Here is a 21,690-nt window from a genome sequence, read left to right as displayed (position 1 = left end):
GTGTGTGTCTGCTTTCACCTTGACATTCTCTGCCATGTTGTAATGTAGCACAAAAACCCTCACCAGGAGCCAGGGACATGCCCTTAAACTTCTCAGCCTGCAAAACCAGGAACTAAATAAACCTCTTTTGTTTGTAAATGACCCAGTCTCAGGTATTCTTTTATAGCAACACAAAACAGACTTAGGCAGCCATCTATGAAGTAATGCCCCAAATTTACTAACTGAAATCAGATCACACCTGTAGATTTAATTTCCAATTTATAAGAAATGCAGACAACATGGAAACATATTAAATATCACCAGAAAAAGGCACTACTCAAAATCAAGACTATGAAAAATTCTACAGGATAAATGACAGTCTCTTTCCATAAGCAAATTGCACAGAAAAGAAACATGGAGACAGATTTTATAGATTAAAAGAGGCTTAAAGATATTTAAACAATTTGCAATACTTGAACCTTATTTAGCTCTCAATGCAGACAGCTTTAAAATGACACACTTAGCCCAATCATAATTCCAGCATTTGTGTGTGTGGGTACCAGCAAACTGAATCTAAAGTTTATATGGAAAGGCAAAAGACCCAGTATAGCCAACACAGTATTTAAGAAGAACAAAATTAGAGGACTGACACTACCTGACTTCAAGACTTACTATAAAGGTACTGTAATCAAGACAGTGGGACATTGGTAAAAGAAAACACAAACAGATCAATGGAGCAGAATAGACAGCCCAGAAATAGGCCCAAATAAATACAGTTAACTGGTCTTTGACAAAAGAATAAAGGCACTACAACAGAGAAAAGATAGTCTTTCAACAAATGGTCCTAGAGTGACTGGAAATCCACATGCAAAATAATGAATGTAGACTCAGACTACACTCTTCACAAAACTTAACTCAAAATGGATCATAGCCCTAAATGTAAAACTACCAAAGTATAAAATTCCTAAAAATAACATAGGAAAAAGTATAGATGACCTTGGGTATGGCAATGACTTCTTAAATACAACACAAAAGGCAAAATCCATGAAAAAAAAAAAAACTGAAAAACTGATACGCTGAACTCTATTAAAATTAAAAACTTGTATTCTACAAAAGATGATATCAAGAGAATGAAAAGACAAGCCATAGGCTAGGAGAAAATATTTGCAAAAGACTTATCTGATAAAGAACTGTTAGTCAATATATACAAAGAATTATTAAAACTCAACAATAAGAAAAGGACCCACACAATAAAAAAATAGACAAAAGACCTGAACAGACACCATACCAACAAAGATATACCAATAGCAAATAAACATGTGAAAAGATGTTCCACATCATATGTCATTAGAAGAATGCAAATTAAAACCGCAGTGAGCTATCTCTACACGCCTATTAGAATGGCCAAAATCCAGAACCCTGACAACATCAAATGCTGGCCAGGATGCAGAACAGGAATTCTCACACACTGCTGGTAGGAATGCAAAATGATACAGCCACTTTGGAAGACAGTTTGGTAGTCTCTTGCAAAACTAAATGTACTCTTACTATATGATCCGGCAACTGCACTGCTTAGTTTTTACTCAAAGTTGAAAACTTTTGTACACACAAATCCTGCACATGGATGTCTATAGGTGCTTTATTCATAACTGCAAAAACCTGGAAGCAACAAGGATGGTCTTCAGTGGGTGAATGAATAAATAAAACTATGGTACATCTAGACAATGAAATATTATTCAGCACTAAAAAGAAATGAACTATTAAAACATGAAAAGACATGGAGGAACCTTAAATGCATATTACTAAATGAAGGAAACCAATTTGAAAAGGCTACATACCATATGATTTCAACTGTATAACATTCTGGAAATGGCAAAACTATGGAAACAATAAAAGATCAATGGTTGACAGGGGTTGGAAGGAGGGAGGGATGAATAGGCAGAACCCAGAAGATTTTTAGGTCAGTGAAACTATTCTCTATGACACTATAATGGTAGATACAGGTCATTATGTATTTGTCAAAACTCACAGAATGTACAACACCAAAAGTAAACCCTAATGTGAACTATGGACTTAATGTGATCATTATGGACTTACAGTAAGTTCATCGGTTGTAAAAAATGTACCACTCTGTTGTTGCAAGATGTTGATAGTGAAGGAGGCTGTGCAGTGTAGAGGCAGGGGTTACATAGGTACTTCCAGTAGTTTCTGCTTAACTTTGCAGTGAACCTAAAACTGCTCTAAAAAATAAAGTTTATTTAAAAGGAAACAAAGGATACATTTGGAGATTTGGGATATTTACTGCATATTTTATGATATTATGGAATTGTTAATTATTTTAGATTTGGCAATACTGTTGTGGTTGTTTATAAACCTAAAAGCCATTTCTTCATTGGGAAATAAGGTATTTCTCTGTTAGCAACACTGTAAAAGGCTCTGAAATAGTTCCTGTCATACTTTATTTATCTGAATATCTTTTACTTCTTTAATGTTCAAAGCATATTTGTGCACGCATATATAAGGAAATGCATATCTTTATGTGTTAGTATTGTTTGAGTGGGCATTTAGTTCATTTTAAATAAGAGGAAAAAGGTATTGCTGATAATATGCTGCACAAACAAGAAGGTGAAATTGGCAGAAAATACAGACTTAAATAGTACACTTCATAATGTCTTCATTTGTTTTTAAATATGCATTTATTTTCCTGAGGATTCTTTTTATATTTCACATGTTTCAGGTTTCATCATTTTCACCTAATATAAGTACTTATTTCAGTTCTCTGCTGTGATACATATTAAAACTGTGTATATTCATCCTTTGAAGAACGCATTCATTTTGTAGGAGGAATAAGTTACTCTGCTTCCATGAATATCCAAACATTGTGATACCTAATTATAATGTGTCATGTATTTGTCAAAATCAGAAGGCTTCTTGAGGCGTCAAATGTATAAGAAAATTTCTTTGTATTTGGAGAAGTTCATGTTCTCCTTCTCTTCCCTGGCTATGGAAGACATTGTACAAGGTTTTAGAATATTCTCCTGGCAGATGTCATTATTTGTTTCTGCTCCTGTTAATGTCCAGCCTAAAACAATAACTCATGATCTGCACTGTTGCTTAGATATCTATTTTTCCTATCTGAAAGAAAGATGTTTTCTTCTTTTTATGGTAATGTTTATTAAAAAACTAAGGTCAGGATGAGGCTCTGTAATTTGCTGCAGCTGTCATATGCTGTCATAGCCATACAATTTGTAAGTCCCGTGGCTGGTGTTTAGCTGTGATAAAACCCAGTTTTGAAAAATAAGGATATTGAACTCTAACTTTTAACCAGGCTTCAGTGTCAAGGTCCCTAATACACTTATCATCTGAAAACCTATTTTCTCATGTTAAGGTTCCCTAACCTCAATCAGCAGGAGAGAGAAAAACCAAAGCTCAGTGTTTGTGTCAACCCATCTCTTCGTCATGAAACATCTAGTACAGTATAGAGAACTAAAAGTATTAGCCAATCCAAGCTAAAGTATTAAAATTATAAGTCTGAGTTATTTTCTCATTACAATAGTTTAAATATCTAGTTTGAAACTGGAATATTAAAAACCTTCAACTAACTGGTAGGATATAAACAAGGAGAATCTACTTGAAAGTTAGGAACTTTCTCCATTAAGTGGAATTAAAATTCTGCTATTGCAACTTCAAAGATAAAAATGTAATCTCAGGGCCAGGCGCAGTGGCTCACGCCTGTAATCCCAGCACTTTGGGAGGCTGAGGCGGGCGGATCACGAGGTAAGGAGATTAGACCAGCGTGACCAACACAGGTGAAACCCCATCTCTACTAAAAATACAAAAATTAGCCAGGTGTGGTGGCGAGCGCCTGTAATCCCACCTACTTAGGAGGCAGAGGCAGGAGAATCATTTGAACCCGGGCGGCAGAAGTTGCAGTAAGCCAAAATTGCACCATTGCACTCCAGCCTGGGTGACAAAGTGAGACTCCATCTCGAAAAAAAAAAAAAAAAGTATTCCTGACCTAATTTTCTAACCTATGCCCATGCTTATCAACCTTCACCTCACCTCAGTTTCAAGTCTATCATTTTACATGCCATTACTACGTATCTTAAAAACATTTGTCACTGGGGTTCTCTTCCTGAAACGCACTTCTTCCAGATTATCACATTAGGCTCCTTCTCAACCTTTAGACTGCAACCCTATAATCACCTTTCAAAAATATTTTATTCTATTAAAAACAGTTCCCTCCCACCCCCATAGTTATTCTTTTAATGTGCTGTTTTGTTTACCTAAATATATTGATAATTTTCACATATGATTTAATCTACTTACTATATATGTATTTTAAGCTCATAAACACAAAATACGAATTTCAGGGCAGCAAAGGCCCAGTATATTTGGTGTTTTCCCCCCAACTCAGAATCCTTCACATTGACAGAAAAATCAGAAAAATAGTAAATACAAAATAAATGTTTTAAATGAATAAAATAATTTACAAACGTAATACAGAAGACTGAAAGAAGGTCACATTACAAAATTTAAGTTTTTTTAACTTCGTCAAAGAAAAATTAAAGTTATAGCTGACAGATCTTGGATGGTGAGAGTCTGTGAGAAGAGAGAGTTAAAGGGCCAATAATAACACCTCTTAAAAGTGGGCATCAAGGAGGCAGGACTTCTGGAATGGAAGTGTAAAGCTCTGCAATACCTAGTCCAGGAAAGTCACCAAACAGGTGACAAAACAACAACAACAACTAAAACAAAAAGTCATTGGGTGGAATGGGGCAGTAAGAATCCAGAGATATGATATGTTACCTAACTTGTCCAATTTTCAAAAGAAAATTACATGGTAATGCAAACAGAGAGAAAAATGTGAGCCACACTCCAGAAAGTATCAATCCACACAAACACTCTGAGGGAACACAGAACACAAAGGTTGCAATCAGACAAAGGCTGCAAAGAAACTCTTATAAAAATGTACAAAGAATAAAAGGAAATCATGTTTTAAAGAATGAAAGTGTAGTTAAATAATTCAGTAAATACAGAACATCAATAAGGAGAAATGGTTTAGCCTGTAATCCCAGCACTTTGGGAGGCCGAGGTGGGCAGATCATTTGAGGTCAAGAGTTTGAAACCAGTCTGGCCAACATGGTGAAACCCCATCTGTACTAAAAATACAAAAATTAGCCAGGCATGGTGACACATGCCTGTAATCCCAGCCACTCGGGAGGCTGAGGCCAGAGAATTGCTTGAGCCCAGGAGGTGGAGGTTGCAGTGAGCAGAGATCACACTACTGCACTCCAGCCTGGGTGACACAGTGAGACTGCATTTATTAAAAAAAAAAAGAGAGAGAGAGAGAGAGAGAGAGAGAAATGGTTTAACAAAGAATGAAATGGAAACTCTGAAGTTGTATATTGCAACAAATGTAATTTTTAAGAAATTATTAAAGTGTATCAACAGCAAATTTAAACTGTCAGAAGAAAGAATCGGTGAACTTGAAGAGATACCATTAGAAATTATGTCTCTGAAGAGCAAAAGAAAAAAAAAGAAAAACAGAGCCTCAGACACCTGCGTGACACAATAAATCATGCCAACATATGCATAATGGGAGTAGCAGAAGAAGAATAGAGAAAGGGAAAGAAAAAATATTTCGAGAAATAATGGCCAAAAACTTCCTAAATCTTATTTAAAACATTAATATACACATCCCAAAGTTTAACAAATTCTCAAGTAGAATAAACACAAAAGAGATCCATACCAGCCGGACGCAGTGGCTCACGCCTGTAATCCCAGTACTTCGGGAGGCCAAGGTGGGCAGATTATGAGGTCAGGATATCGAGACCATCCTGGCTAACACGGTGAAACCCTGTCTCTACTAAAAATACAAAAAAAATTAGCTGGGCATGGTGGCAGTTGCCTGTAGTCCCAGCTACTCAGGAGGCTGAGGCAGGAGAATGGCGTGAACCCAGGAGGTGGAGCTTGCAGTGAGTCGAGATCACACCACTGCACTCCAGCCTGGGGACAGAGCGAGACTCCATCTCAAAAAAAAAAAAAAAAAGAGAGAGCCATACCTATCGTAGTTGTGGGTTGAACTTGAATTTGTGTCCCCAAAAGTATGTTAAAGGCCTAACCCCTTATACTACTAAATATGACTTTAATTGGAAATAGGATCTTTTAAGATCATCAAGTTAAAGTGAGACCATAATGAATTAGGGTCAGCCCTAATCCAATGACTGATGTCTTTATGAGAGAAATTTGGACACAGAAAAACAGACCATGTGATGGACACAGAGATAAAGCTTCAAGTCAAGGAATTCCAAGGGCTGCCAGCAGCCACAAGAAACTTGGAAGAAGCAATGAAGGAGCCTCCTAGAGCTTTCAAGATGACACCTTGGTTTCAGACCTTTGGCCTCCAGTCCTATGAGGCAATAAATTACTGTTATTTTAAGCCACCCAGTTTGTTATAGCAGCACTAAACAACTAATACTATAGTTACACTGTGTCACCAGAAAAAAACTCGAAAACAGCAAGAGAAAAACTATTTGTCATGTATAAACAGAGAGAAGAACAACAAGATTAACAGCTGACTTCCCAGCGGACAGAGTGGAGGCCTGGTAGTCATGGAATGATGTATTTAAAGTGCTAGAGGGAAAAAAAATCTTGTCAACCAACAATGCTATAACCTAAAAAACTATGCTTCAGAAATGAAGGTGAAATAAAGACATCCCTACATAAAAAAAGACTGGGAGTATTTGTTGCTAGCAAAGCAGCTTCATAGGAAATACTAAAGGAAATGACAGCAGGCAGTAACCGAAATATAGGAACCTAAATAAATATAGGAACCTAAACCAAATAAGCAGAAGGTGTTAAATAAGAAAGATTAAAACAGAAATTTACAAAATAGAAAACAAAAAAATAGAAAAAAACAATAAAAACAAAAGTCCTTTGTAAAGATAAACAAATTTGATACATCTTTATGCATTCTCAAAAGCTGTTTCTTGAAGGACAAAAAAAAAGTTAGTTACTACAATGTTCCATGGTTTTCTAAAGACCACAGTACATAAACAATGCACACTATAACTGTCGTGTTAAAAATGCATGCAGTAGGGGGTGACAACTGGAGGAAAAATACGTTCAAAAGCCTCATTCAAGGGTCAAAGAAGACTGAGAAGTACTGAACTAACTTAAATGAAACAATACCATGGAAGATGCAAATTACCAAATTAGAAATGAAAGAAGGAACATCACCACTAATCCTGCAAAAATTTAAAAGATTATAAGTGAATACTAGGAACAACTTTATTTTAACAAATTTCACAATTTATATTTAATATAAAAATTTGTAGAAAAACACAAACTTTTAAAAAGTGACTCAAGAAGGAGAAAATCTGAATAGGCCTGTAACAAGCACTTGGATTATAATTCACAATATTCTTAAAACGAAAATATCAGGTTCCACATCTCCACTGGTGTATTATATCAAATGTTTAAAGACGAAGTAACACCAATCCTTCACCAACACTTCCACAAAATCAAAAAGATCATTCTCAAAGTATTTTACGAGGTTGAGATTACCCTGACACCAAAGCCAGACAACATGTTGCACAAATTAAAACCAAGCACCTAAATTCTTCATGAATATAGATATGAAAACTCACAACAAAACATTAGCAAATGGAGTTCAACAACTTATAAAATGGAACTTAAGGTTGGTTTAACATCCAAAAATCAGTTAATGAGAGAATAAAGGACAAAAACCACATGATCATCTCAATAAACTGAGAAAATGGATTTCAAAACATTCATTTTTAAAAACTTCCAGTAAACTAGAGATAAAATCAAACTTCCTCAACCTGAGAAAAGATATCAACGGAGAACCTATAGCTAACAACATACTGATGAAAACCTGAATTCTTTGTCCCTAAGATCAAAAACAAAACAAGAACATCTGTTCCCACCTCTTCTATTCGACATTGACTGAACAGTCTAGCCAGTGAAATAGACAAGTGAAACAAATAAAACATCCAGAATTGAAAACTGTCTTTAGCTACAGGTAAAGTGTTGTCATGTAGAAAACCCAATACTATCTATAAAAACAAAAATGAAAACCGAAACCAAATAAGTTTAGTCAGATAAAAGATGCAAGATTAATATAAAAAAAATTGTATTTCTATAAACTAGTATAATTGGAAATTGAAATTATAACAACATTAATTTTAAAATTGAAATATTTGAAAGTAAATATGACAAAAGATGTGTGTGAACTCTGAAAATTTGAGACAGGTCTCAGTTAATTTAGAAAGTTTATTTTGCCAAGGTTAAGGTTGCATGCCCATGACACAGCCTCAGGAAATCCTGATAACATAAACCCAAAGTCACCCCAGAGGGATGACTTTGAATGGAATGGAAGGCAGGTTTTGCCCTGAGCAGTTCCCAGCTTGACTTTTCCCTTTAGCTTAGTAATTTGGGGGCCCAAGATTTTTCTTTCCCATGTGCAAGGCCTGTATGCTAAAAACTACAAAATATTGTTGAGAGAAATTAAAGAAAAATAATTTGACAGATATATGTTGTGTATGAATTAGAAAACCTGGTATTATTGAGACTCAATTCCCTCCAAACATCTATAGATTTAACAAAAATCCCAACAAAAATCCCACAGTATTTTTGTACAAATTCACAAGCTAATTCTGAAAATCATATGGAAATGCCACAGACCTAGAAGAGCCAAAGTAACTTTGTAAAAGAAAAAAGTTGGAGGATTAAACACTGCCTGAATTGAAGACTTATTATAAAGCTACAGAAGACAATATGGTTTTAGTACAAAGATAGACAAATAGATCAATTGAATAAAGAAACACCAAAAATAGACCCAAACATATATGAAAATATTGACTTAACAAAGGTGAAAAAGCAATTCAATTGAAAAAAAATCATCTTTTCAACAAATGGAGATAGTAAAATTTAATATCTACAAACAAGAAAAAGAAAAACTTCATGTCTCATGCTGTACACCAAATTAACTAAAGTTGTATCATATAAATATAAAAGAAAAATCCATAAAAGTACAAAGATAAATTGTAATTCATGAAAACTAGAACTTTTACTCATTGAATAATACTATTAGGAAAATGAAAACACAAGCCACATATAAGGAGAAAATAGTTACAAACTATATACTTAATAAAGGATTTGTGTCTAGATTGTATTATATAAACAACCTTCAAACATCAGTAATAATAAAACCAAAAAGTGGCACAATTTTTAGATACAACGCCAGAGAAAATGTATAATCCCATGAAAATATAGTCAACATCATTAGTCATTGGGATAACCCAAATTAAGCCATTGCACACCTATCAGAATAACTAAAATTAAAAAGACTTACCATACCAATTACTAGGGAGGATATGAAGAAACTGGAACTCTAGTATACTGCTGTTGGAAATATGAAATGATACCACCAATTTGGAAAAGTTTGGCAGTTTCTTAAGGGGTTAAATATATGTCTACTGTATGATTCAGGCATTCCATTTCTGTGTTTTGGGTTTGTTTTTTTCTCAGAGAAAGAAAGGACTAATCCATATTAAGACTTGACTTAAATGCTTATAGAAGTTTTATGTGAATAACCTAAAACTGAAAAAAACCCAATGTTGATCAACAGGTGGATGATAATAAAATATGGGTATATCCCTACAATGGAATATTGCTGAGCATTTTAAAGTATGAACTACTGATACATACAGTGTGGATGAATATCAAAATAATCTCAGAAAGTGAAAGAAGCCATACAAAAATAAGAGTACTTACAGTATGCTTCCTTCACATCAAGTTCCAGAACGGTGGTTGGCAAACATTTTTGGTAAAGGGAAAGATAGTAAATATTTTAGGCTCTGCAAGCCATGGCATCTGTCTTATTTATACTCTGCTGTTGCAGTGTGAAAGCAACCATAGATGATAGGTAGACAAATGAGTGTGGCTGTGTTCCAGTAAAATTTCATTTACAGAAACAGGTGGTTGAGCTAGATTGGACCAACAGGCCATTGTTGGCTGATCATTGTTCTAAAAAAATGTGAACTAATTTACCAGGACATAAAACAGATGAGTGGGTGTGGAGATGGGAAGAGGGCAGGAAGGAGGAATTTCAAAGGGGCATGAGGAAACTTTTAGGGGTTATAGAAATAGTAATTATCTTGATTATTGCGATTGTTTCACAGGTGCATACGTATATTAAAATCTAATAAATTGTGAATTTTAAATATGTGCAGCTAATTATAGGTCAATTATACCCAAATAAAGCTATTAAGAATCAATTAGTACATTTTACCACATTAACAGAATAAATTAGAACAACCGTACTACCATATTAATAGATGCAAAAAAAAGTAGTGTTTTTTTTAACTTGACATCCCCTCATGGTATATGACATCTAAAATAATGTTTGACAAATAGCAAATATTCAATAAAAGTAGTTATTAATATGGGAGGCAGGGGCATGACAGAAAACTATAATGGAATAACACTGGATTTTGAAGCAAGTAGGCTATTGTGAAAGTCCAAACTAAGCTATTTAATGTGTAAATAGTTAACTTATTGGCCTGGTTATCACAACCAATAAAATAGCTACATAAAGTGTGTTGTAGAACTCCTGACTTTCAGTGGCTAGCTGTTATTATTGTGGTTTTCTAAATTTAACATTTCAAAAATCCACACAGATCCTGACAAGCTATGCCCAGTAGACTTACCAGTAATTAATAATAATGAGTTGGTTACAATTTTAAACTATTTATTATGTCAACTTTCAATTATACACTAGAGAGAATATGATGATGATTTTTCAAGCATTCAAACACAGTTTTCATAGTAATTATTTTGCCATTCTTTATCATCTGTCCTCTCTCTTCTCAGCTGGAGTATGTCCAAATAAATTCCAGACATTATAGCATTTACCTGTAAATACTGCAGTAGTTCTGTGATGGATTTTTTTAATGAAAAACTTTTAAATGTGAAACTTTATATTCATTTGCTAAAGGGCTTCAAAATACCACAGACTGGTGGCTTAAACGACAGAAATTTATTTTCTCACAATTTTGGAGACTAGAAGTCTGCAATCAAGGTGTCCATTCTTCTGAGGCTTCTTTGCTTGGTTTGTAAATGGCCGTCTGCTCCCTGTGTCCTTCTGTGATCTTCCCTCTGTGTGTGTCTGTGTCCTAATCTTCTATTCTTATAAGGACACCAGTCAGATTGAATTAGAACCCACTCTAATGACCTAATTTTAACTTAACTATCTCTCTTTAAAGAACCTGTCTCTAAATATAGTGGCATTCTGAGGTACTGGAGAGTTGGAGCTTCAACATATGAATTTTGGGGGACACATTCAGTATATAACAGACAATAGAATGATAGAGAATTGTGATGGACATGGAAATAGTTGGCTCTTACCTTTCTGTACAGCCACCAACTCCTGCACCTTGAGACTGCCATAGTGTTTATACCAAAGCCACACTCCGAGTGCTCTCAGCCGATGACTAGGCACAGTGGGGACCCCAGAGCCAGGCCATTTCTGCCCTATATGGATCTCCTCTAATGGGCAATAATTGCTATGGGTCTCCTCAATGTCCTTGTTGAGACCTTCCTGGAGTTTTATCACAGTACGAGGCTCCTCCTAACATCCACCTTTCCTTCCTTTTTTCCCTTTTCTCTTTTCAAAAGTGTAAGACCTAGTTGGGCACAGTGGCTCACCCCTATAATTCCAGCAATTTGGGAGGCCGAGGTGGGCGGATCACCTGAGGTCAGGAGTTTGAGACCAACCTGGCCAACATGGTGAAACCCCATCTCTACTAAAAATACAAAAATTAGTCAGGCGTGGTAGCATGTGCCTGTAATCCCAACTACTCGGGAGGCTGACACAGGAGAATTGCCTGAACCCGGGAGGCAGAGGTTCTAAAGAAGTGCTAAACAAAACAATAAAACCAAAAAACAAGCAAGCAAACAAAAAACAACCATACACACAAAGAAGCAGGTATATCAAAGGGAACATAAATGGTTCCCAAAGCTGGAATACCTTGAGCAACAAAATAAAGTTGTATTGGATTATCACACAAGGTAAAAAATAAATATATATGAGTCCCGATTGATACAAATACGTGATTGAATAAGTAAATAAATAGAGGAGGAGGAAGAAATCTCCTGAGCAGGAGAATTTCAAATAATTTATATAGATACTGTACATTCAAGGAGATGGAGTATAACTTCCCACTCCTGAAGTGTGGGCTGTGCACAGTGACTTTCTTCCAAAAAGTATAGTATGGAATGGAGAGCAGAGGGATGAGTAACTTTACAGTGGAGAAACTGACAAACACTACCTTAAGCAGGTGACCAACATCAAGAGTATGTCATGTTGATACAGTATATACCCTTGATATGATGTGATGTAAATAGCACTTTGCTTCTAAGATAATCCCCCCAAATTAATAACCTCAGTCTAACCATAAGAAAATACCAGAGCAATCACAAATGAGGGACATTCTACAGAATATCTGATCAGTGTCCTCAGGACGATCAAGTTCTTCAAAAACAAGGAAAGTCTCCGCAACTGTCACAGCCAAGAGGATCTGAAGGAAACAGGAGAAATCAATGTAATGTGGTGTCCTGGATCATATCCTGGAGCGGACGAAGGACATTCAATAAAGACTAAGGAAATCTGAATGAAATGTGGACTTTAAATAACATACAAATCTTGGTTTATTACTTATAATAATTGTACCACACCAATGTAAGGTGTTAATAATAGGGGAAACTAGGTATGTCGTATGTAGAAACTCTCTGTACTGTTTCACAGTTTTTCTGTAAACTTTAAACTGTTCTAAAATAAAGTTTATTTAAAATAAAAAAATCTATACATCAAACTGCCATGTGGAACATGATTGCAAGAGCTAATATTTATTTGGCACTTTCTAAGCTACAAAGTACTTTCTACTGCATTAACTCATTGAATGACAAATCCATTACCTTCCAGGACTTTATGATGAGATCATGTTATGAAGCCTGTCTAAAAAAGCACATTAATAAAACATGTAACTGTCATTATTTCAATAAAATCATGTTCTGCACAGAAAAAAAAAATTAATCATAAAGGACCTGAATTTACCAGCACAGCTTTTAATTTCTGGCAAATTTCACATCTTTGCTCTGTGTGTCAAACCTGTTCTGAGCATGTTGGGTTTCTATTTTTCAGATCTCCAGTGATGTTAACAGCAGTTGTGAATTCTTAATGAAATTCATCATACATTTGCAACAAATTGCTCACCTCTCCCAACCCCAGAGAGCAATGTGGAAGTAGAAGAAAAGGAGCTGGCAATGAATTATCTCCCTCCTCACCAGAGCAAAAGGGGGTTATTGACAGACAGGCGCCTGCCAGAGATTCAACAGACACTCTGGGGTCTCAGAACCATTCCTCTCCATATGCACCTTTTTGCCCATCCTTCTTTCTTTCCAATCTCTCTCCTTGTCATACCACTTCTCCCCTCCTTCCCTTTCTTTTGTTCCTGTGTCTTTGTCTCCTCTCCTCTTCATTGCTTTAGGCCAATCAGGAAAACTCAGAAAAATCCCACATCTTTCTGACGTCTGCCTGTTGTCCTAAGGGAAAAAAAAAAATAGGTGGCTAACTCTAGATTAGAGTTTTAAAATATACACACCTGATCCCACAAATGCTCTAAAGCACTTAGTCACTTTTACAAAGCAAATTTCTCATTTCCTTATTTCATTTTCCCTTGAACATATAAGAATCAGGCAGGAACCAAATACAAGGGCAATATTAATGCATGGGATGACCTCTACCAAAAATGCAATTAAACCTTTTGATGGGTGTTTGAGGCAAATGATGGTATGTTTCTTGATGATAACTCAGCATAAAGTATAATATATAAACTTAAAAGAAAATCCTCACACAAGTTCCAAACCCTCTTGATCATAAGATAGTAAGGGGGTTCAAGGTGTAGAAGCTGTCTACACTTGTCACACGCTGGCTGAGTGACCTTAGACTGTCACAGCTTCCATTTCCTTCTTTGTAATATAAGAATATTAACAGCTGCACCCCAAGGGATCATGAAATCCAAAGACAATAATATTTTTAGAGTACACTGTAAGTATTTAATGAACGTTAGGGGAGAAAAAATTATCCCCTAATATTTATTTGGGATTTGAATAATATATGTTACATTGACCCTTGTTTCCAGATCCACATTGCATAAAAATAACAAAAATTCATCTTGATCTCAGGATAGTGCATGTTGATTTTCTATTCGGGTTTTTTGTTTGTTTGTTTTTGTTTTTGCTTTGTTTTGAGATGGAGTTTCGCTCTTGTTGCCCAGACTGGAGTGCAATGGTGTGATCTCGGCTCACCACAACTTCCGCCTCCTGGGTTCAAGCGATTCTTCTGCCTCAGCCTCCCAAGTAGCTGGGATTACAGGCATGCGCCACCATGCCTGGCTAATCTTATATTTTTAGTAGAGATGGGGTTTCTCCATGTTGGCCAGGCTGGTCTCGAACTCCTGACCTCAGGTGATCCGCCCACCTCGGCCTCCCAAAGTGCTGGGATTACAGGCGTGAGCCACTGTGCCCGCCCATATGGGGAAATTTTTTTAAACCTATTCTGACCAGGTCATGAACTCATAACACCACAAATTCCTGTTTTTCCTATAAGCAGGTTGACTCTGGTGTATTATACATTCCTTCAAGTTTTCCCCCAACTAGACTGTGAATCCTTAACAGATGATGTTGCCCCCAGACCCAGAATTCTCCATCAAAAATAAAACCCTCAAATAAAAATGTCACCAATGAGTTCCACCGTGTAGTGTCTCATCCTAACATCCGTATTTATTTCTAATTAACTGCATGAAAGCTATTCCGAATTTTGTAATTTCAAATGTTGCCACAATCTGTGGTGTTGTGAATGCAGTTCTTTGGGTGGCTCTGCTAGCTGCAATTGAATTTTCTTGGTGGTGGCCAGCCCACCACCAAGAAAAAATTTAGGAAAGATCTTTGCCATGTTTAAAAGTATTTGGTTTGGATTCTGCTACAGAGTTCAAGTTGTTTCAAGCTGTGTGTGCCGATCAAGCAAACACAATTCAGTGGTGGCCAAGAACTATAATCAAAATTGCCATACATCTTTTCTTTTCTCAAGGAATTAAAGTTTGGATCAACAGTACTAATACAGGGATTAGGTAGGATGTTTACAAAAATACATGAAAGGGGAGCATAGAATTTTTTAAGACAACAGGCTAGCCCTCCTTTGCCTTGCTTTTACACGTTAGATATTAATCTTAGAGCATTTTAGATGCTCCACTTCAGAGAAGTAAGAATATTTTCATACTCTTTTACCCTAGAGTGGCACCTCATAGGAGAGGAAATGAAAATTATATCAGCAAAGTTCATGCTCTCTCAGGCAGAAAAGGAAAAAACTTCCTATAGCTAATTGGCACGATGACAAAATTTGTGCATGATATTTTTAAAATAATTTTTTGGTAGTATGGGATAAATATTCAGATTGTTACTTGAACTTGTGATAAATAACATATTAGTTGTCTTCCCTTTTATTTTTCTCTAACATGCAAGCAATTGTTAAGAGGCATTTCTTACACCAGCAAGTGAGATTATATCAACACTGTGCCCTACTTCTTAATACGAAGACAATTCGTTAGGTAGGATTTATCACTCTTCAGGAAACACTCAAACTTCACAGCCTTCACTAAATGACAAGCACGTAGTATATGAGATCTACAACTCAGCTCATAGGCACAGCTTCCTTAAAACATGGAACTGAAACTACACAGAAACCAATTGGTTCATGGAGAAGCCTTAAGCAAGTCAACAAACTGAAAGCTGGAAAAGAGGTCACAGTAAAAGTCACTCTAAAACAGAGCTCCAAATTCAATAGGGATGTGGCTTTTTGACCTGCTACCAACAAAGATTGAAATGTTATTCGTTTTCCCCACATTCTTATGTAAATTTAACTTTCATGAAATTGTTGACTTGATAACCCTGGAGACTGGTGATGGCTCTATTAATCTATAGAATGAGTCTTAATGGTAAACTCTTCAAACAAGCTCTTTTTTATTCTCTTAACGCCTCTGTTTCCATGTAAAATACCATTTTGTGCCCCTCTTGAACTGTATTTACGGGTAGAAAATGGAGAGAAATATGAATGTTTCATACTTGCTCCCTTACCCTCGAAGGAATGAATGAACGATCCTTGAAAGCCACATAATTAATCCCAGAATGTGTGATGAAAACAACAGCAAATCTAAATGTCTATTTTCTTCTCATAAAATAAGGACAAAGAAACTACCCAATGCATGTAGAGATTGGCAGGAAACAAGGAATCAAAAGTGATTGAAAGAGTTATAATGTAAGAATGTCTTGAGCTTGGCTTGGTTATTTTATTTTTCACTTCTATAAAATTGGATATTACATTTTTAAAATGTTTTTGGAGTTTTTTAAATGTCATGGAATAAGGCAGTAACTGCTCTTAGTTCTCATTAAACTTTCTTCAATTCACGTATGGATTTCTGAAAGAAATTGATTTTTGCTATCAGTTATGTTGGACCAACTCTCCCGCTGAGGACAACTGAAATAGCTAGATACATTTTTTAAAGTTTATTGAAGGCATCAGAGAGCTATCAAATCAGTAAGGACTTGAAGGGTCAAGAATCCAAGGAGAAAAGAAGAGCAGAGAATTGAACCTGATATTTAGAAGTACTTTTACCCCAAGGCATTTTCCAATTCCCAAGCAGTGACCAAGAGGTAAAAAACCTAGCAGAAAGTAGTAGCTACTAATTTGTCTTAGTGTGGGTTTCTCTGGAAGCAGACCCTGGGAGAAAGAACATAGTGCAAGTAATTCATTTGGGAGATGCAAGGAATATCGAGACAAGAGAGAAGTGGAAACGGATATAGGGTTGGAAAGCAGTAATAAGGAGTACTCTATTAAGCAAAATACAGAGGACAGATACAGTTTAACCCTGGAGTAAGTCTGGAAAATGGTATAAAGCACATACTTCAGACATATCCCATCCAAGGGTTAAGGGTAGTGAAGTAGTTGTATACGCTTTCCTGTTAAGCATTGATCAAGGAATATTCCTTGGGGTGTTAGCTAATTCCAAAGCACTTCCAGTCTTCTATGGATACAGGCAGAGTAGTCTTCCAGACTGAATCAAGCATGAAGATACAGATACTGGAAGGTGCTGAGTATCTGGAACACCGCTATATGGTAAGGTCTGGGGTGCCTGAGAGTACTGACAGTGTCCACTACAGTTAACCCTTTGTAATGCCCAAAACAACTCACTTCCCAAGTTAAGTCTGCTCCATCCTGTCATCTTTTCTTTAAGGTTAAAATTTTTTTTAAATCAATATAAATATAGGAGTTTTAGTGAAGGACACTCCACATTGCAGTTTCATCCAAAAGTTGGAAATAATATCCCTTCTACTATTCAATCAAGACACTCCTTATAATTAGCCACTCTTTTGATGATCTGGGGTAAATCAGATCTTTATCCTTGAGGGCTCTGAGCCCCTGGTTACCATGCTCTTGTAAGGCCGTGCTTTCTGCTACTACGCAATTCTGCTTAATCACTAGATACGGAAACACAATGAACCTCCCTGCCTTCATTATGTAGCAGCAACTGTATATCTTCATGATAATAATGATTAATTTCCACTGACAGGGTAGTAACTTTCAGTGTCTTTGTACTCCTCTGTGAGAAACCAGAATGACTGGGAGAAAGCTGTAATTTTAGCTTTTGTGGAGTTCTTACTGTGTAGCCTGACAGGACCATCTCTCTCCTAGGAACTGAAGCACAAGTTCCTCAACTGAGTCACTGGGAATAACAGTGAAAGGCAATGCCCCCACTCCCACCCTTGGTCCTAGACTCTAAGGGTCACCATGGCACTTTTGGGGGGTCTGTGGGGTCACCACTATTTTCATAATAATGTTAAGATACTATTTGCCTTTATTGTTGTGTTGACAATTGCACAGATGCAATAATGTTTGGTACTGTTGCTTGGTTAAATTTATGGTAGTTCCTTATAATCTTCCATGATGTATCTGGTATTTTTAAGATCCAAACTAGTTAACTGAATGGGGATATGATAGAGAGCACCAAACCTGCATTCTTTCAGTCTATGGGGTGGCACTAAATCTGCCACTTCCCTCAGATGCATTATGGCTTCTCATTTAGTATCTTGACAAGGGAGGAATTTCAGGGGCTTCCACTGGTCTTTTCTTAGCATTTTGGTTCTTTCTCCGTAAGTCAGCTAAGCAATGTGAGACTTCTGCCAAATGATAAATATACATATCTTGATTTTGTAATGAGTGACCAGAGGATTTCCCTGGGTGCACGGATGAAAACATCAGATTCATTGTGAGACAGACTTGGGACAGGACTCCACTGATCACCTGACCTCCATAATTCCCTTTGCTGGCAAGATAACTTTTTAGTCTCCTGGGATTAAAGTAGACTCAGACCCTGAGATGAGGATTTGGGCACAGTGGGGTTTTGGGGGAAGATAAAGGAACACTAACATGCACGAAGTAATGCAGAGAACAGAAGATACATTATGAAGCTAGCTAATCCCATGGGGGAATTTCAGGGAGAAAAAAAGAAAAAAGTAAAACACACATCCAAGCTTATTCTGCTCAAGGGTAGGGGAACTGTTGTATTTATACAATATTGACCCCTTATCCATGAGGGATAGTTTCCAAGATCCCCAGTGGATGCTTGAAACTGTAGATAATACTCAATCCTATATATATGATGTTTTTCCTATACATACATACCTATGATAAAGTTTAATTTATAAATTAGGCACAGTAAGACGTTAAAAACAGTACTTAATAAAATAAAACAATTTTAACAATATGCCAGCATCGCTACTCTTGTGCTTTGAGGTCATTAGGAAGTAAAATAAGGGTTACTTGAACACAAGCACTGCAATACTGTGACACTGGATCTGACAGCCAAGATGGCTCCTCAGCGACTAACAGTCAGGTAGTGTCTACAGCATAGATACACTGAACAAAGGGATGATTCACATCCTGGACAGGCCAGAGCAGAACAATGCAAGATTTCATCATGGTACTCAGAACGGTGTGCAATTTAAAGCTCATAAATTGCTTATCCATGACTAAGACCCCAAAAGCAAATGCAGCAAAACAAAAATAAATAAATGGGACCTAATGAAACTAAAAAGCTTCTCCACAGCAAAAGAAATAATCATCAGAGAATGGGACAACTCCATAAGTCAGGTAAGCAATGTCAGACTTCCCCCAAATGATAAATATATATATCTTGATTGTGTGATGGGTAACCAGAGGATTTCCCTGGGTGCATGGATGAAAACATCAGATTCATTGTGAGACAGACCTGGGACAGGACTCCATTGATCACCTGACCCACAGAATGGGAGAAAATATTTCCAAACTATGCTTCTGACAAAGGACTAATATCTAGAATCTACAAGGAACTCAAACAAATCAGCAAGAAAAACTTAATCCCATCAAAAAGTGGACAAATGACATAAATAGACATTTCTCAAAAGAAGATACACTAATGACAAAAAATACATTAAAAAATGCTCAACATCACTAATCATCAGGGAAATGCAAATTAAAACCACAATAAAATACCACCTCACTCTTGCAAGAACGGCCATGATTTAAAAGTCAAAAAAGAGATGTTGGCATGGATATGCTGAAAAGAAAATGCTTGTATACTGCTGGGGGGAAAGTAAATTAATACAACTTCTATGGAAAACAGTATGGAGATTACTTAAAGAACTAAAGGTAGATCTACCATTCCATCTAGCAATCCCACTACTGGGTATCTATGCAAATGAAAATAAGTCATTCTATCTAAAAGACACCTGCACATGTATGTTTTTTGCAGCACAATTTACAAATGCAAAGATACGGAACCAACCTAAGTGGTTATCAACCAATGGCTGGATAAAGAAAATGTGAGATATATACACACACACACACACACACACACACACACACACACAAACCATGGAATACTACTCAGTCATAAGAATGAAAAAATGTCTTTTGCAGCATCTTGGATGGAGCTGGAGGCCAACTATTCTAAGTGAAATAACTCAGGAATGGAAAACTAAATTCCATATGTTCTCACTTATAAGTGGGAGCTAAGCTACAGGTATGCAAAGGCATATAGAGTGGTATAAAGTACTATGGAGATGCAGAAAGGGGAGCATTGGGAGATAAAGGATAAAATCTACATATTAGATACAATGTACACAAGTGGGGTGATGATACAGTAAAAATCTCAGGCTTTACCACAATGCATTTCATCCATGTCACCAAAAATCACTTGTACGCCAAAAGCTATGGAAATACACAAAATTTTAATGGAAATAAAACTTATGAATTGTTTCTTTCTGGAATTCTTTATTTAATATTTTTGGACTACTGTCGACTGCAGGTAACTGGAACCCCAGAGAGTGAAACCACATATATGAGAAGACTACTTACACCTGTAACAACCACTCATTAGTCAAGAAATATTGGAGGAGATTTTTAATTCCTGAGCATTTTTAGCACTACCATATAAACAGGTAGAGCAGCCTTCCAGAAAAATCCATTAGACACATATCTGTAGATTCAGTCCATTATTAAAGCAAGGTTTGAGAGTTTTAGATAAACCCCTGACAACACCAGCTACAGAATTTGAGAAGACTAGCAGAGTTTTCCAATTTTCAGGAAACTGGGAAATGCAACACCCACCCATAAAGGTGTAAATTTTAAAATCAGCTAGTGAAAAAAAGACACTCTACCCTCAAAGGAACAACAATAAAGTCAATAGTTAACACTTGAAGAGAAACTATGGAAGCCAAAAATCAATAAAATGGCATCATCAAAGTGCTGAAGGAAATTATTTCAACCTAAAAGAAAACATCCTTCAAAACCAAAGCAAAATGAAGTTTCAGATAAATAGCAAATTTGTCCACAGCAGACAAAACCATTTTAAGTGCTAAAAGTACTACATGTTCAAAAAAATTGTAAGATTAGATACAATATGAAATATAACAATAATTCAATTGAATATAAATGTATAAAATGCCACCTAAAAGAAAGTTTATGAGATAGGCTAAAATAAAACAAAGTTCAATGATAAGATATACGTACCTTAAATATAAGGATAAAGAGGATTTCACAGTAAAAGAATAAAATGCCATATAATACAAACACTAACCCAAACCATATATATATAGTTACAGAAATGGAAGAAAAAGTAAACTTCAAGTCAAGAAGATTACTATAAGAAAAAAATAGGATATTCCACTGTGATTAAATAATTTATCTATCAGAAAGATATATGTACCTCATAAAACGGTATATGAAATTCATAAGCAAAATAGCAGATTTTAACACATTGCTCTAGGTAACTAATAAAACAAGCAGGAAACAATATCTGTAAGGACAGAGAAGTTTTGAAGGAAAAAATTTAAAAATTCTTACCCATCGACATGTCTAACAATGTCCTTAACAACTAGAGAACACACGTTTCTCACAGGATGACATGAAGCATTTTTCAAAATTGATAATATACTGTGCCATAAAGCAAGTCTAGACAAATCTCCAAGGATCAAAGCAATTGCTTGTGTATTCTCTGACCAAGTGAAATTGTTAAAAAAAAAAAAAAACTA

The 21,690-nt window shown here is 36.0% G+C and overlaps 1 long non-coding RNA gene across 1 annotated transcript in view; it reads left to right on the top strand.

The window, feature by feature from the left end:
* The window catches only part of LOC105371349 (uncharacterized), a 57,270-nt gene extending 43,487 nt beyond the window's left edge, over positions 1 to 13,783 (top strand). Inside the window, exon 4 of the long non-coding RNA XR_933750.3 lies at positions 13,208 to 13,783. This is a non-coding gene — a long non-coding RNA (uncharacterized LOC105371349). The remainder of the gene's footprint in view (positions 1 to 13,207) is intronic.
* Positions 13,784 to 21,690: the final 7,907 nt, after the last annotated feature.

Source organism: Homo sapiens, chromosome 16 (genome assembly GCF_000001405.40).
Source record: "Homo sapiens chromosome 16, GRCh38.p14 Primary Assembly".
Lineage (NCBI taxonomy): Eukaryota > Metazoa > Chordata > Mammalia > Primates > Hominidae > Homo > Homo sapiens.
The sequence above is the reverse complement of the archived record's forward strand: the minus strand, read 5'-3'. Positions and strand labels throughout refer to the sequence as shown.